We start from the raw sequence: 15567 nt of genomic DNA, 5'->3' as shown, positions 1-15567 counted from the left end.
GGCCGGCTGATTTTTTTGTATTTTTAGTAGGGACGGGGTTTCACCGTGTTAGCCAAGATGTTCTTGATCTCCTGACCTCGTGATCCGCCCGCCTCGGCCTCCCAAAGTGCTGAGATTACAGGCGTGAGCCACTGCGCCCGGCGATATATCAGATCTTTAAAAATATTTCACTAAGTGAACTTCAATATAATTGGTTTCCATTGTAATCAAATGTATTTTATTTTACATATTCAAAAACCTGGTTCTGAGACGGTATCCACAGGCTTCTCCAAACCACCAGAGGGAGCTGTGGCACAGAAATGATGAGAAGCCTTGATGTAGAGGGATCTGGGATTAGATGATCTCTATGGTCTCTTCTAGGTATGAAAGTGTGGGACTGTTTATCCTAGGAGTGTGCAAAGGTTTTAGAATATTCGAGAAACAAGACTGCTGACAGATTTCCCAATGTGGATTCTCTCCGCGTTTTGAAAATCAAGAAATGCCATAAAACAGCTTTCTCAATCAGGTTACTCCAAGTTACTGAAGCATGAGTTTGCTGCTTTCTGAGGGATGACCTTAACATGAGATCTTCCTTTTGAGAATTACAAAGGGTACTGGAAGACCTATCAGTTAGGGTGCCTGCAATATTGATAACCCTCCTAAGAACATGTCCTAAGGAACCTATTTTGCTTTACACTGTGACCCTGCCTCCCACTCTCCTCCAAGGCACTCTTAGAGACTGGATCTAGTGTGGACATCTGCCCAAGGGCAGTGAGCTATATAACATTAAACATTTCTCCAGTTTCTCATCAGTAAAATGTTAGTATCTTCTTCATTGGTTTGTACTCAACAAATGCTTTTTTATTTGTTAATTGTTTTTACTATGGATTTTGGTACTATTTGGTCAACTATCTGCTAGGGTCTGTGTTGTAATCATTCATTCATTGATTTCATAAATATTTATAGGGAGTATATGATGCAGCAGACATTGTGCTAAGTGCTAGGAATAAATTATTGAGCAAAATACCTGTGGATTTACTCCCCATAGAATTTACGGTCTAGTGGGAGAGCAAGACAGACAATTGTGGTAAGAATTATGAAGAATGATAAGGACATATAAAAATCATATAACATAAGGCGTGATTTACTTTGGAGGGCTAAGTTCAGGGATGGTTTCCCTGAGCATGTATTGAGGTATATATAGATGAACAGAAATGATTAAGTGAAGAGAGAGGGGACAGTGTCCTAGGCAGAGGGAGAAGTATGCACAAAGCCTCTGAGTCAGGAAACAGAATAGTATATCTAAGGGACAAAAAAAGACCAGCATGGAAGGAGATCAAATAACCAGTGTGGGAGAGACAAGCGATAAAAGAGATAGCCCAAGGCCCAAATATGAAGGGACTTCAATTCTTCCACTCATTTACTCAGTCAGTCAGCAAATATTTACTAAGCACCTACTATTGCTAGGCACTGTTTCAAACATGAGATAAAAAGATGTACAAGATAGTCACAACCCCAGTGCTGGGAATTTTGGCCTTTGTCCTAAGATAAATGTGTAAATTGCACATGGCATCATTTGCAAAGCAAAAATGTAAAATATATTTTTAGTTGGACACTCAGGATTACAGCTTATTTAAAAATAATTTTTTAAAAGTAGATATATTTACTGAGAACCTCCCAGGTGACAGGTACTGAGTTAGACACTTTATAATCAATTTTTCATTTAATTTTCAAGATCATCTTGTGAAGTCGATATTTTTATTTGCAGAGGTAGAAACCTAATGAAACTAAGAGAACCATCATGATGAATTTGTTTCAAATATCTTTATTCTTAGAGAGTGGACAAAGTACTCCAGAGAGGGAGATAAGAACCAGAAGACTCCTGGAGTAGTCCATGTAAGAAAAAATGACGGCTTGGACTTTAGTGGTAACAGTGGAAATGGACAAGAATGGATGGAAGTGAGAGAAAGAGGGGCATCTAGGATGTAGTCATCAAGATCTGAAATACTGGGGATGGAGTAAGTTTGCTGGAGACCATGAATTTGATTTTGGACATTTAAAAATTACTGATTTGTATTACCTATTGCTTAGAAAGCTTATTAATGGTTTTACCTCCAGGGATCAAGTCTAGAGAACTGTGTTTTTCACTAGTGCCTCTGGTGATTCTGGCCCACTGAATTATCTCCTAAGTAAACCCAAGAAATTAGCCTCACTAAAGTCTTAAAGAACTGACAGGATTGTGTGTGCAGGAAGCAGGTTTGGTTAGTGATTGAGAGCAGGGGCTCTAAAATCAGACTATCACCATTTGAATCCTGGTCCTTATAACTGTATGGCCTAGGGGAGTTTCCCCATCTACGAAACAGGAAATTAACAACATCTACCTCACAGGACACTGTGATCCATGTAAAGCACTTAGCAGGATGCCTAGTATACAGTAAGTGATAAAAAAAACTTAGCTATTGAATTATTATGTCCAAATCACTGCACCTTTCAAAACAAACAAAAACTTGGTGTTGATGAGATACAAAGAGTGACTTCACTTACCTCGCTGGGCAGTCCCGGATGTTACAGGGCTCAAACCCAGCCAGTGGCTTCTGGAGGTGATCACACAGGGCCTCACTCACTTCCTGCCCATTGGCCATCACACACTGGGGTCTCTGAATGCGGGCTCCCAAATGACCACAGGTGGCAGAACAATGTGACCAGTTACCAGGCTCCCAAAAAGGCTCTGCAGAAAGAAAACAAAATATCATGCCAGCCCCAAAAGAGAAATGACGACGAGCTGGAGAAGACATGGCCAAAAACCACCATGAGATGTTTTTTGGTTCTTTAAGTAGCATATGGAGAGAAAGCCATCTCATAGTGCAAGGGAGTCCTCTAAATCTTATTTTCCCTCAACTAATTTACTGTAATAACTGGTGAGAATGGCGGCCAGAATGGGGTCCTTGGACCACAGTCTGGAGAGGGACTATCATCGGCCAGCTGGGTCTGCCAGAAAAATCCCAGAGAGAGAGGAGGCACTCTCAGCAGTGGGCTGCCTCCTCAGTGTTCTCTAACCACAGCCAACAGGACAAGAGAGGAGGGCCTCTCTAGGGGATGCCCTAACGGGTTCAATTTCTCAAAAGTGGATCAGGCAGAGAAATGAAAGATGATTTAGCAGGAGGAACAGGGACTAGGGATTAAGCAGTAAGGTTAAAGATGCATTTGAGTTCTGTTCTTATTTTTCCATTAATTCTTAATCTAAACTTCAGATTGATCCTGTGACTGCATAAATAATTTGTCACAGAGACATCTGAAGAGATAAATGTAGGAGTTTCCTTTACAAGAGTAGAAGCCGACCACCTCCAGTAATCCCAGCTTTTTAAAAATTTTAATCCCTATTCCAAACAGCCTTTCCCTTCCCTGCTGACACTCAGCAAAAGATGAGGTAGGACATGATGATGATGGATTTGTGTGTGATCACAGAAGGTGCCAGATTTTCCTGTAATAATTACAAGTAATTAATAGCTACCAGCTGTGTCCACAGGCTCTCTCACATAGCAGAGTGATTTCTTTCACTTGTTTTCCACTTTTTCCTTCTGATTTTTGAAGTTCGTTTTAAGTTGTACATGGCATCATTTGCAAAGCAAAAATGTAAAATACATTTTTAGTTGGACACTCAGGAATACAGTTTATTTAAAAATAATTTTTTAAAAGTAGATACGTTTACTGAGAACCTCCCAGGTGACAGGAACTGAGTTAGACACTTTATAATCAATTTTTCATTTAATTTTCAAGATCATCTTGTGAAGTTGATATTTTTATTTGCAGAGGTGGAAACTGAATGAAACTGAGTACCTTGCCCAAGGTCTGTCACCTGTTAGCCGGACTGGATCCCAAGTGTGTCTGACTCTATTATGCCACATTTCACAAAGACACCTTGGCAGTTCAAGGCAGGACATGTGCATTTCTTTTAAAATGTGTGTGTTTTTTTAATTGAGGTATAATTCATACACAATAAATTGATTATATCTCAGGTGTGCAGTTTTACAAGGTTTCACAATTGTAAGCACTTACGTAACCATGATCCAAAGCAAGGGATGTAATATTTTCATCATCCCCCTCTTGTCTCTTTCCAATCAATTGCTCTCCCCTCCCAGGCAGCAACTCGTCCATTTCTATCAGTATACATTAGTTTTACTTATTCTTGTACTTCATATAATATGTACTCTTGTGTATTTGGTTTCTTTTTTTTTTTTTTTTTTTGAGACAGAGTCTCACTCTGTCACCCAGGCTGGAGTGTGGTGGCATGATCTCAGCTCAGTGCTGCCTCTGCCTCCCCAGGTTCAAGCGATTCTCCTGCCTCAGCCTCCTGAGAAGCTGGGATTACAGGTGTGCACCACCGCGCCGGGCTCATTTTTGTATTTTCAGTAGAGATGGGGTTTCATCATGTTGGCCAGGCTGGTCTCGAACCCCTGACCTTGTGGTCCACCCGCTTCTGCCTCCCAAAGTGCTGGGATTACAGGTGTGAGCCACTGCGCCCGGCCTTTGGTTTCCTACGTTGCTTAGCATAAGGTTTTTGAGATTCACTCATATCATTGTGCATATCAGTAGTTCATTTCATTTCTTCTATTGCTGAATAATGTTCCCATTGTATAAATCTACCATAGTTTTTAATCTATTCTCCTGTCAATGACTATTATCAATAAGTTGAACATTCATGAACAAAGCTTTTTGTGAACATTTTTTTTTTCGGGTAAATACCTGTGAGTGAAACTGCTAGGTCGAGGGTAGGTGTGCGCTTAACTTTTTTAGGAGCTGCTAAATCGTCTTCCAAAGTGGTCTAAACATTTTACACACTAAGCAATGCATGAGCGTTTCAGTTGCTTCACACTCTTGCCAAAATTTGGCATTGTCAGTCTTTTTGTTTTTAGCTACCCTACTGGGTATGAAATTGTATGTCACTGAGGTTTTAATTTCCATTTCCCTGATGCCATCTATATATCATCTTTTGTGAAACGTCTGTTCAAGTCTGTTGCCCACTGTGTGTGTGTGTGTGTGTGTGTGTGTGTGTGTGTGTGTATGTGTGTGTGGTGGGGGATATTCATTGATAACTTGTGGGAGTTCTTTATATATTCTAGATATAAGTTCTTCATCAGACATATGTTCTGCCAATATTTTTCCCAGTCTATGGCTTATGTATTCATTATTCTTATTGGTGTCTTTGATAAGGAGATCTTTAAAATTTTGATGCGGTCAGTCCAATTTGATAATTTGTTTTTGTTTTCTACTTAGTGCTTTTTGACACAAATGCATTTGAAAAGCAGATCATGCCATATCACTACCATATAAGACTCCTCAATGACCTCCCATGTTTTAGGAGTAAACTCTTGAGTCTTTACCTTGGACCTCAAAGCTCTGAATGATTTGGTCCTCAGCCACTCTCCAACCTCATCTCATATCCCTCTCCCTCTCCCTCAACTGTACCCTAGTCACATGAATCTTATTTCCATTCTGAGGCCACATTAACCTTATTCCAATTTTATGGTCTTTGCTTCTTTCTCATTTTTCTGCACAAATGGTTTCACCTCATCCTTTAGGTCTGGGCTCAAATATAACCTCTTAGAAGGCCCATCCCGACTGTCTTCACTAAAGTGGCTTCCTCCTATCACTGTGTATCTCATAGCCCTTACCACTGAGAAATATCTTAAATACTTATTTGTTTACTGGTTTCTTGTGCATCTTTCCTACTGGAATGTCAAGACCATAAACACCACCCTGTCCAACACTAGGACAGGGTATGTGAAATATTAGCCATGCAAGCAGTATTTGTTAAATTAATAAAGGAGTCTCTTTGAAATGCTAAGCTAAGGATCCTTTGAAGGGCTGGGACATTCCACAATGTGTGTGTGTGTGATTGTATATTTGGGCATGTGTTTGTGTGTGTCTGTGTAGGAGGTGGCAGAACAATGCAAGTAGTCCCAATAAACCAAGAGTTTGACTATTCCAAAGGCTTCACCTTCACCAATAGCTTCAGCCTCACACATATCCTTTTTGTTTTTCATTAATTTATTTTAGGCAGTTCTTTTGATCTTCATGTTCCATGCCACATGCAACACACCATGGTTTCTCTGACTGGAATTTCCTCTTTCCTCTTCCCAGAACAAACATCATGACCTACATGAAAACTCAGTTGACTTCTCTAGAGAGAGGTAGGGCCCCTTCCTCAGTGCTACCATTGTACTTTGGTCATCTTTTTATTATGGAACTTGTCCCAGTGCTTTACAGTATCTGTTTACGTGACTGCCTCCCTCTTCAGACTGTGAGCTTCTCAAGGAGGAGGTCATCTGCAACCCCAGACCTGGGAGGAGTAAGCACTGGGCAATATTTGTTGAATGTCCAATAAATGGATATTTGGGTATACAATAATGTTAGTATTATGTTTAAAAGAGGAGAAGAAATGTGTCATACAAATACTATAAGAGAATGATGTCATAAGTAACGTGATGGATTGCTGATTGGCAGCTCAACACTGTTTTCCCCTTCTGTGCTCTCTCTTGCACCTCAGGAGGTGAAAGCCTAGAAACTACATTTCTTAAAATCTCTACCGGTAGAGTTATATTCTGCATGATACATTATGCAAATGAGAGGCACTTCTCAAGATTTAAAAGGTGAAAATGACGTGGCCATTATTGTTCCTATATAACGAGTACAACATGAGGTTTAAAAGGAGTTTCTTTGTGGCCGGGCACAGTGGCTCACGCCTGTAATCTCAGCACTTTGGGAGGCCAAGGTGGGCGGATCACGAGGTCAGGAGATCGAGATCATCCTGGCTAACACGGTGAAACCTCGTCTCCACTAAAAATACAAAAAATTAGCCGGGCGTGGTGGCGGGTGGCTGTAGTCCCAGCTACTTGGGAGGCTGAGGCAGGAGAATGGCATGAACCTGGGAGGCGGAGCTTGCAGTGAGCTGAGATCACGCCACTGCACTCCAGCCTGGGAGGCAGAGCGAGATTCTGTCTCAAATAAATAAATAAACAAAATAAACAAAATAAAATAACAAAATAATTAAAAAAAGAGTTTGTGTCCTTCTGCGATTTACCCATTTTTGAGCTACAAGGAGCTGAGATGACCAGTAATGGTTTCCTGCGTTTCTAGCATTTCTGATTTTCTTAACTCTGCCTTGATCCCTTGGCCTTCTGCAGAGTTTTATAAGCTTGTAATACTTAGATTAGGTTCTCCTGATTAAGCACTGATGCATAACAAAGTTGGTGTGTATGGAAAACTATGTCTTGAAAAAAGAACAATTAAAAAATCAATTCCAATACTCATAGCAGACTATTAATATCTATTAATATTTACCAAATTGGCAATAGTTTTGAAACTGGAAATCAATATCTATATTATCACAAATAATAGTGCACATTTGAGATATGAGCTCTGTAGGCTTCCTCAGGAGTGGATTTTTCTAAAAAGTGTTTCAATATGGAAAGAATAAGTTGAACCACTAAAGACTGAGGGTCAAGAAAAAGGCTGGCCAAATGCCTAGAAATAATTTTACATATTGCAAAGTGAAAAATACAGATGGTCTTTTAGCTAAATCCTTTTCCTTACACATGCCTCACACATAGCAAATCTGAAAAGGTCAAAATCCCAGACCTTGAGGCGGGGGTTCTCCTGTTGGGTCATTGCTGTTGGTTCTAGTGTTGGTTGCCTGGAGAATGTACTTTTTATGTCCTTGCAGAAATACGATTCTACTCTCTGGCCATCTTCGTTCTGAGGAAAAAAAAAAGTAGCACTTTTACCAGTTAGACATTATCTAATTATTGGTCCAGCTTGGGTGTTCTTAAAGACAGCTATTAGAAAATGAGTCCTCTATAATAATACTGTGCTCCTGGATACTCAAGCTCATGACCACAGGTCTGGGAGGTGTGTATAAGTATGGACGTGTGGGGTGTTATAGAGTTTAGAGTTACTCACTGTGCTAGCATGTGGCATCTCTGCATGTTTCCAGGGTTTCTAGCCTAAATTGCAAGATGAAAAAAATGTATTCAGCAGAATTCCAAAAGGGACTGGAGGAAGCAGATTGGTTGGATAGAGCTCTGCCTCTTAAGAGGAATGCTGGGAGCAAGAGAACGGGCAATGTTCCCTAGGTTTGCATGGTGAGGAGTACGGGCTTTTAGGAAGGTTGTGAAGCTTGCACATAAGAGCAGAGGATGGTGGAGGAATGCCATGATTTGACCTCTCCATCAAGTTACCAAAGTCATGAGCTGCTTGGCTTGAGGGGATTCCTGAGAGAAGAGGTATGCCAGGTAGGAGTGAGACAAGCATGCAGATTCATGAGTGGAAATGGGCAGAAGAAAGAAACAAGGCTGGGGTTTCTCAGGGAGCATGGATAAATCATTCAAGAACCAGACAGGGTTAGCCTAGCCAATCTGTTGCAACTCTTCCATTCGAAGATTTTGGAAGATCACACAGAGGCTTTTTGGAAAGAGCCACGTGGTGGCACACCACTGCCTTTGTCAGTACTAAGAGTCCATGAGGGGTAGCAGGGAGAGCACCAAAAGAGCAGACTACATATTTGGGCACTAGTTCAAACTCTTTATGAGCCCAAGGCTCCTCATAAATACAATGAGATTAAAAAATACCACCCACAACACTGTGCTATCATAAGTATCACAAGAATTAACGCTCATCAAAATGCTTTGTGCATGACAGCTATTCCAACTCCCTGCATTGGCACCCCCTATCTCTTTATATCTCTGGGCTCCTCTAACTGCCCCAAGGAAAGCTATGGAGAAATCTCTTTCATGTTTTTTCCTCTTGGTTTAGCAATGGATTCTATACTCTTATACTAATTTTGCCAATGGTTCAATTTCATTCCTTCATGAAACCATTACTTAACACTAACATCTGACCGGGCGCAGTGGTTCATGCCTGTAACCCCAGCACTTTGGGAGGCCAAGGCGGGCAGATCACGAGGTCAAGAGATTGAGACCATCCTGGCCAACATGGTGAAACCCCATCTCTACTAAAAATACAAAAATTAGCTGGGCATGGTGGTGTGCGCCTATTGTCCCAGCTACTCAGAAGGCTGAGGCAGGAGAATCACTTGAACCCAGGAGGCAGAGGTTGCAGTGAGCCGAGATTGTGCCACTGCACTCCAGCCTGGTGACGGAGCAAGACTCCGTTTAAAAAAAAAAAATCACACACACACACACACAAACACTAACATCTGTGTTAGGTGCTGGGAATACGGGGTGGTAAAATAGGGTGTTAGAATTTAGTGCTCGTTTTTAAGCAGGCAGTGGCAGCAATGGTTAAAACCATCTGATGTCCATCTCGTTCACTCAACTCCAAAATCAACAAAACTGGGGCCTACTTTGTGCATATTACAGGAGGCACTTAAGGAGCAATAAGAATTTGACACTTACCCAGCAAGTGGAGTACAGATGTTGCCACTGCCTTTCCAAGAGCATTGGTGGCTATGCAGACGTAGGTTCCTTCATTTTCAAGGGAAACATTCTGCAACAACAGGGATCCATTGAAAAGCAAGGAAACATTGCCACTCAGAGATCCTCCTCTCTTCAACCAAGTTATATTAGGCTGAGGGACACCTTTGGAACAAAAACAAATATGACAAAGGCAATTCCTTTAAGAACAGGGCCACAGAACCACTTGACAAATACCATTCACTGTTTTGACCGTAAGTCAGCATATGGGTTTAATCATATATAATAGGAAAAATGGCTATTTCTATTTCTATAGCTACTCTATGGCAGATGGAGGATCCTCTTAAAGCAAAGGGCTTTGGTCTACAGGGCATGTGACTGGTTTACACATATAAGTTATGGAATGGAAACCAAGGAGTAGGATTGCTCTGTATTGGGAAGGGAGAGAATTTTGAAGGTGGGTAGGGTAGTGGGAGTGTGGTTGGAAAGAAGGAGTCGGTGAAGCTGGGGGAATGTGGAGGTAGAGACACAGTGAGAAACTCCCAGGGGGTAGGTTGTCACAAGGAAGTCTTTGGAAAACATAAATATTTCCTAGAGGTCTTTAAGTTGTTTGCTGTGCATAAGCAATGAAACATTCCTCCCTCAGGAAGAATATACAACATCCAGGGAAACAGAGTTCATTAATTCTTTGTAAAGGAGGATAACTTCAGGGAGCAAAAGTAAGTGCTGAGTTTCAATTCCGGGTCAATGCAGTGAGATGCAGGGACTGTAAGCAACATTGCAGGAGCCTGGACACAGAGGGGAACATGAGGAATTGAAAGAATTTCTTTCCCCAAGTCTTCAGAAGGCTTAGCATTTTGCTGGGCTTTGGAATTTAAGATTCAGAGGAATAGAGAAATTTCATTTGGTTCTTCTTCTTCTTCTTTGCTTTTTCTTTTTGAGATGGAGGCTCCCTCTGTCACCTAGCCTGGAGTGCAGTGGCACAATCTTGGCTCACTGCAACCTCCTGGGCTCAAGTGACCCTCCCTTCCTCAGCCTCCAAGTAGCTGGGACTACAGGTGCAAGCCATCACACCCAGCTAATTTTTGTAATTTTTGTAAAGACAGGGTTTCATCATGTTCCTCAGGGTCGTCTTGAACTCCTGGGCTCAAGCGATCCCCCGCCTCAGCCTCCCACTGCACCTGACCTCATCTGGCTCTTAAGAGCTGGAATAGCTTCAGATGATGCCAAGATTGCTCTAGACAACTGTTTTGGGGGATGTTTTCTCCTCTTACAGTGCTCTGGTTAGTGAGAATGGAGAAGCCATGGTATGGTTTTCTGACTTAAAAAATAGATGCGACCGCTATTATCATGACATGTGCAACACACCTTACAGTAGGCAAAATGCGTGCTCCATGAACATGGTGACACTTGAATTCTCATAGTTATTCCTATTTCCTGGGAGGCAGTCATTGTTAGCTGTATCTCACAATTGAGGAACCTGGTAAGCCTTTTGACTTCAGGTCCAGTTCTGTCCATTACATCAAGCTGATTATTCAAGTCTCTTAAGGAAGTCATTGTGTGGCTTTGGAGGAAACTGTTATCTAGAAATGCTTAAATTTACTTGTAGAAACCTAAGACTGATATTGGCACTGAAGTATTGCCTGAAAACTCAAGGTGAAAAAAAGACTAAATTTCTATTCAAAGAGGAGGTGGAAATGCATAGGGGGAGCACTATCTTGGCTGGGTTGGGGTGAGGCTTTGTTTTCATTCTCAATAGTTATTAGTTCTGTAGCCTTGGGCAAAGCCCTTTAGATTTCAACTGTGTCGTCTGTGAAAGGAATCTGAAAGAAGAGTAGGAACTTCATTATGTTCAGATATACTATTTGAAGTTTTCAAAATTGGAGTCTGAGATGGTTGCCCTTGGGACTTTTTGTCCTTAATCCTGTGGCTTTGTATGATCCAAGTATGGTAGGCAGAATTCTAAAGACATTGCCCCAAGATTCTCATCCTTTCATTACTCAATCAAATGTCAATCTAGGCACTGGTGTGAAGGAATTTGCAGATGTAATTAAGGTTACTAATCAGTTGGCCTTAAAATGGGGAGATATCTGGTTGGGCCCATTGTAATTCTATAAGTCCCTAAAATCAGAAGAGAAGGACAGAAGCTGTCAGGGACATATGGAGAAAGAGAAAGTAGGAGAGATGAGGCAGAAGAGGAGTTCAGAGAGATTCAAAGTGTCAGAGCAACCTAACCCACCATTGCTAGTTTTAAAGATAAAAGGGACCTGAGCTGGGGAGTGCAGGTGGCCTCTAAAAGCTGAGAGTGGCCTTCAGCTGACAGCTATCAAGAAAATGGGAACTTCAGTTCTAAAATGATAAGGGATTCAGCCAATAACCTGAAGAAGCTTGGAAGCAGATTTATTCCCAGAGCCTCCAAAAAGGAATGCAGCCATGCCACCACCTTGATCTTGGCCTTAGATACTCTAAGTGTAACAGTCAGTTCAGCAATTCTGTGCAACATAGGTGACATAATATATGGGTATTGTTTTAAGCTTCTAAGTTTGTGTTAATTTGTTACAGCAGCAATAGAAAACCAATACACCGAGAGATTTGTTTTAAATATTGTTATAAAAACTAGGCTAGCCCTAAATAGCTGAAGGAATGCTAATCACATGTGCATATATCTTTTTTAGCATTTTCTTCTACACATATACACATACAGAAAGTTTAAGCTTTCTGAAAGGTCACAGCTATTAAACATTGGAGCTGAGATTTATACCAATACAATTTGATTCAGAACCTTTCTTAACCACAACATAGGTAGATGTTATACATCTCTTAATATATTTATTCCAATGCATGTTATAGTTCTTTGTTGTTGCAGTAAACAAGATTTTAAAAAATGTATTTCATAGTTGTTTATTGCCAACACTTAGGAAAGCTATAAGCATCTGCATATTTATCTTGTTTCTAGTCATCTTACTGAACTTTATTATTTTGAATAGTTTTTCTAATTGATTTTCTTGTTTTTTAAGGTAAATAATTATATCATTTGCACATAATGACAATTTTCTCTTCCTTTCCAATATGTATACTTCTGATTTCTTTTTCTTGTCTTATTGTATTAGTGTCTCCAGAACAATGCTGAATAATAACCACTATAGCAGGTACGTTAGACTGAATATTTGTGTCCCTCCCCACCACATCTTGATCTTGGACCTCCTTCAACATGAAAAGCTTAATCTTGGACTTCCCATCCTCCAGAACTGTAAGAAACAAATTTTCTGTTGTTTATAAGCTACTCAGTCTATAGCATTTTTCTTATAGCAGCCCCAGTGGTCTAAGACAGCAGGCATATTTGTCTTGTTTCCAACTTTAATGGGAATATTACTAATGTTTCTTTCTTAAGCATGATGCTTTTTTTGGTATATAAATTTCCTTCTATTTCTAGCCTACAAGAAAATTTCTCAGTCTTTGAGTTTAACATTTAATTTGCTTATTTTAAAGTAAATCATTTAAAGCTGTTAATTTTATTCTGAGTACAGCTTTGGCTACATATCTTATGTTTTGAAATGCAATACAACTATTGCCATTATTTCATTCACTTGAAAAATGTTTATGGAGTGCCTACTCTATGTAAGACTCTGTGGCAATGCTAAGGATATAATGGTAAACTAAGTTCCTCACGGACCTTAATCTAGAGTGGGCCCATGCATCAAAACAGCCAGCTGCAATTCAAAGAGATAAGAGCGTGCAATAAAGGTAAAATACTGGATGCCACTGGAGCACAGAAGCTGTACCTCATGTAGACTGGAGAGAAAGGGAAGATACCTGCAAGGAGGAACATAGAGTGCAGATGTAGGAAAGCATGGGAACAGGAGCAGGAGCCAGACTTTTCATGGTATAGTGCCTTGTTTTTTGATTGAATGTATTACCTGGATCACCTATCCCCAACTTTTAAAAAGTTAATAATGGAGCTCAGAAACAACTTTGATTTAACTTCTTGTTAAATTTTCTCTTGGGGTCCCTTTTAGCTCTAAGATATGTGTGAGATCAATTCATTCATTCATCCATCTATTCTTTCATATATTATTTAATTCACTCTCATTATTCACTCTCTATGACCAGAATTCTTTTATAGCATTATTACTGCATTAATCTCAGTTCTCCACAGCAGATCATGAGTATAGGCCTGGCAAAGATTAGATGTGTGAATGTTTGCTGAATGCATAAATGAATAAACTAGGGAATGCATTTACTAGAAGAAAACCATATTCTATCCCAAAGATACATCAGCGTGACTTTTTTGGTTATTCATACCAATGCTCTCTTCCAAGCAGCAAAGATAATAAAGCACTGACTGTATAGTAAAATCCTCATAAACTCAGACACTATTATTTTGGAATCTATGGTAATTTAGAGAAGGGCTATACTAGCTAGGAAGAGAAAAAAATCTCCTTACATATTTGAGGGCAAAAGTGCAAATCATTTCAGAAATTCCTTCAAATACTTCACTGGCCTCCACAACATATACACAATTGTTATGTGAGTATAAATCGACATTTATAAATTAAAGTGGTTGCCTTTAAGACCCTAAGCAATTCTCGCTTAAATGACTGAACATTTCTAAAAGCAATTCATAGACTTGAAAGCATTTTACAATTCAGGGATGTTTATTAATTCAGACTTGCCTCTTACAATCAGTCCAAATTAGTGAGGTTTTCTCAAGACATAAAGCCTCTTACAGTGAAAGACCCTAAACAATCTCAGATACATTGGCTTATTCATTATTCCTCCACGGTAAGAAGCTGGTAAGCGGTGCTGTCAATTCTACATTGAAACAAGGTTTACCAGAGGCCTTCAGCCAGGCTAAACAAGCTGTGTGGAGATCTCCAGGGAGAGCATTTCCGGCAGAGGGAACAGCAAGTACCTTGGCCCTGAAACGGGGTCCTCAACCCGGGGACCATGAGACTCACGTGGGTCCACAGATAGGATTCAGGAGTCGGTGACCTTTTCACCAACTCTAGTTGAAATGTAGCACTTCTATCAATTATGAATGTAAGCACAGACCAAGGTAGTAGTATCTTTAACTCTCTCACCAATGGAAGTCACAGATATTTTCGTATCACATTACAAGTGTGACCAGCTCTCTCAAAATATTTTTTATGCCAACACTACTTCAAAAATATGGTAACTATTGGACCCAATGCTAGATTTTGAATTTGATGCATTAGTAATGAAGTACATATATTATTCGATCACACATTTGGTTTATTAATATTTTGATACCTATATTTTTATTATAATTGGTTTTCTTTAAATGCAGTATATTTTATTTTATACCTTTGAAAATATTATTTCAGAAGTAGTACCATAGGCTTCATCAGACTGGTCCAGGACACATTCCTCCAATTTTGGAGGAAAGTAAAAGAGCATGTGGCTGCAGGGATGTGAGCCAGGAAAAGAGCAGTAGGTGACAAGGTCAGAGAAGTGGCAGGTGGGGCTCAGGTCATAGCCTGATAGGTCATCGTAAGGCTTTGGTTTCTATTCCAAAGATTTTGAAGAATGGCATGAGCTGACTTGTGTTTCTAAAGGACTGCTTTGACAGCTATGTTGATTGCAGGGGGCAAGGGCAGAGGCAGGGAGACCAGTGAGGAACCTGTCAAGATAATCCAGCCTAGAGATGACGGTGACTTGGACCAGTGTAGTGGCAATGAACGTGGTAAGAGACGGTCAGATTCTGGGCCTATTCTGAAGGTAGAGCAGACAAAATTTGATGGGGGTGGGGTAGTGTGAGAGAGGAAAGCGAGTAAAAACCGACTCCAGGATTTGTGGCTCAAGCAAATTAAATAACTGCCTTGTCATTCACTGAGATGAGGGACACTATGAGAGAAGTAAGTTTGGGAGCAGAACTCAGGAGAGCAGTTTTGGACATGTTAAGTTTGAAATAACTATTACATATCCACGGAGAGATGCTGAGCAGGCATGTGGACATGTTAATCTAGAGCTTAGGGGAAAGGTCTGTGCTGAAAATATAAATTTAACAGTTTCCAGCATACAGATGTCATATTTGAGTCCTTCTGCAGGTATGGGACCAATAGGGAGAGAGTATATATAGAGAAGAGAAAACGTCTGAGGACTGAGGCCTCGGGTAGTTCAACTTAGAGATCAGGGA

General features: G+C 40.4%; 1 protein-coding gene across 10 annotated transcripts in view, besides 1 other annotated feature; it reads right to left on the bottom strand.

Moving 5' to 3' along the window:
- The window catches only part of ADAMTSL3 (ADAMTS like 3), a 385720-nt gene that overhangs the window by 15726 nt on the left and 354427 nt on the right, over positions 1-15567 (bottom strand). For 9 of the 10 annotated variants that reach the window (XM_011521823.3, XM_017022434.2, XM_011521822.3 and 6 more), the window contains 3 exons: positions 9393-9575; positions 7618-7734; positions 2524-2707 (listed from right to left, as the gene is read on the bottom strand). In XM_011521823.3, coding sequence (XP_011520125.1) covers positions 2524-2707; positions 7618-7734; positions 9393-9575 — 484 coding nt within the window. Of the gene's footprint in view, positions 1-2523; positions 2708-7617; positions 7735-7938; positions 7983-9392; positions 9576-15567 lie in introns of those variants that run through there. The other variant, XM_011521825.3, reaches the window with a different exon arrangement.
- Positions 1524-1693: an enhancer, noted in NCBI's record as "experimental_41714 CRE fragment used in MPRA reporter constructs". NCBI's record gives its function as "activates a minimal promoter by MPRAs in K562 erythroleukemia cells, with activity observed for both the introgressed and non-introgressed 15:84691261 variant alleles {active_cell/tissue: K562}" and the evidence as "EXISTENCE:reporter gene assay evidence [ECO:0000049][PMID:34662402]".

The sequence above is a fragment of the Homo sapiens genome, chromosome 15 (assembly GCF_000001405.40).
Source record: "Homo sapiens chromosome 15, GRCh38.p14 Primary Assembly".
Classification (NCBI taxonomy): domain Eukaryota; kingdom Metazoa; phylum Chordata; class Mammalia; order Primates; family Hominidae; genus Homo; species Homo sapiens.
The sequence above is the reverse complement of the archived record's forward strand: the minus strand, read 5'-3'. Positions and strand labels throughout refer to the sequence as shown.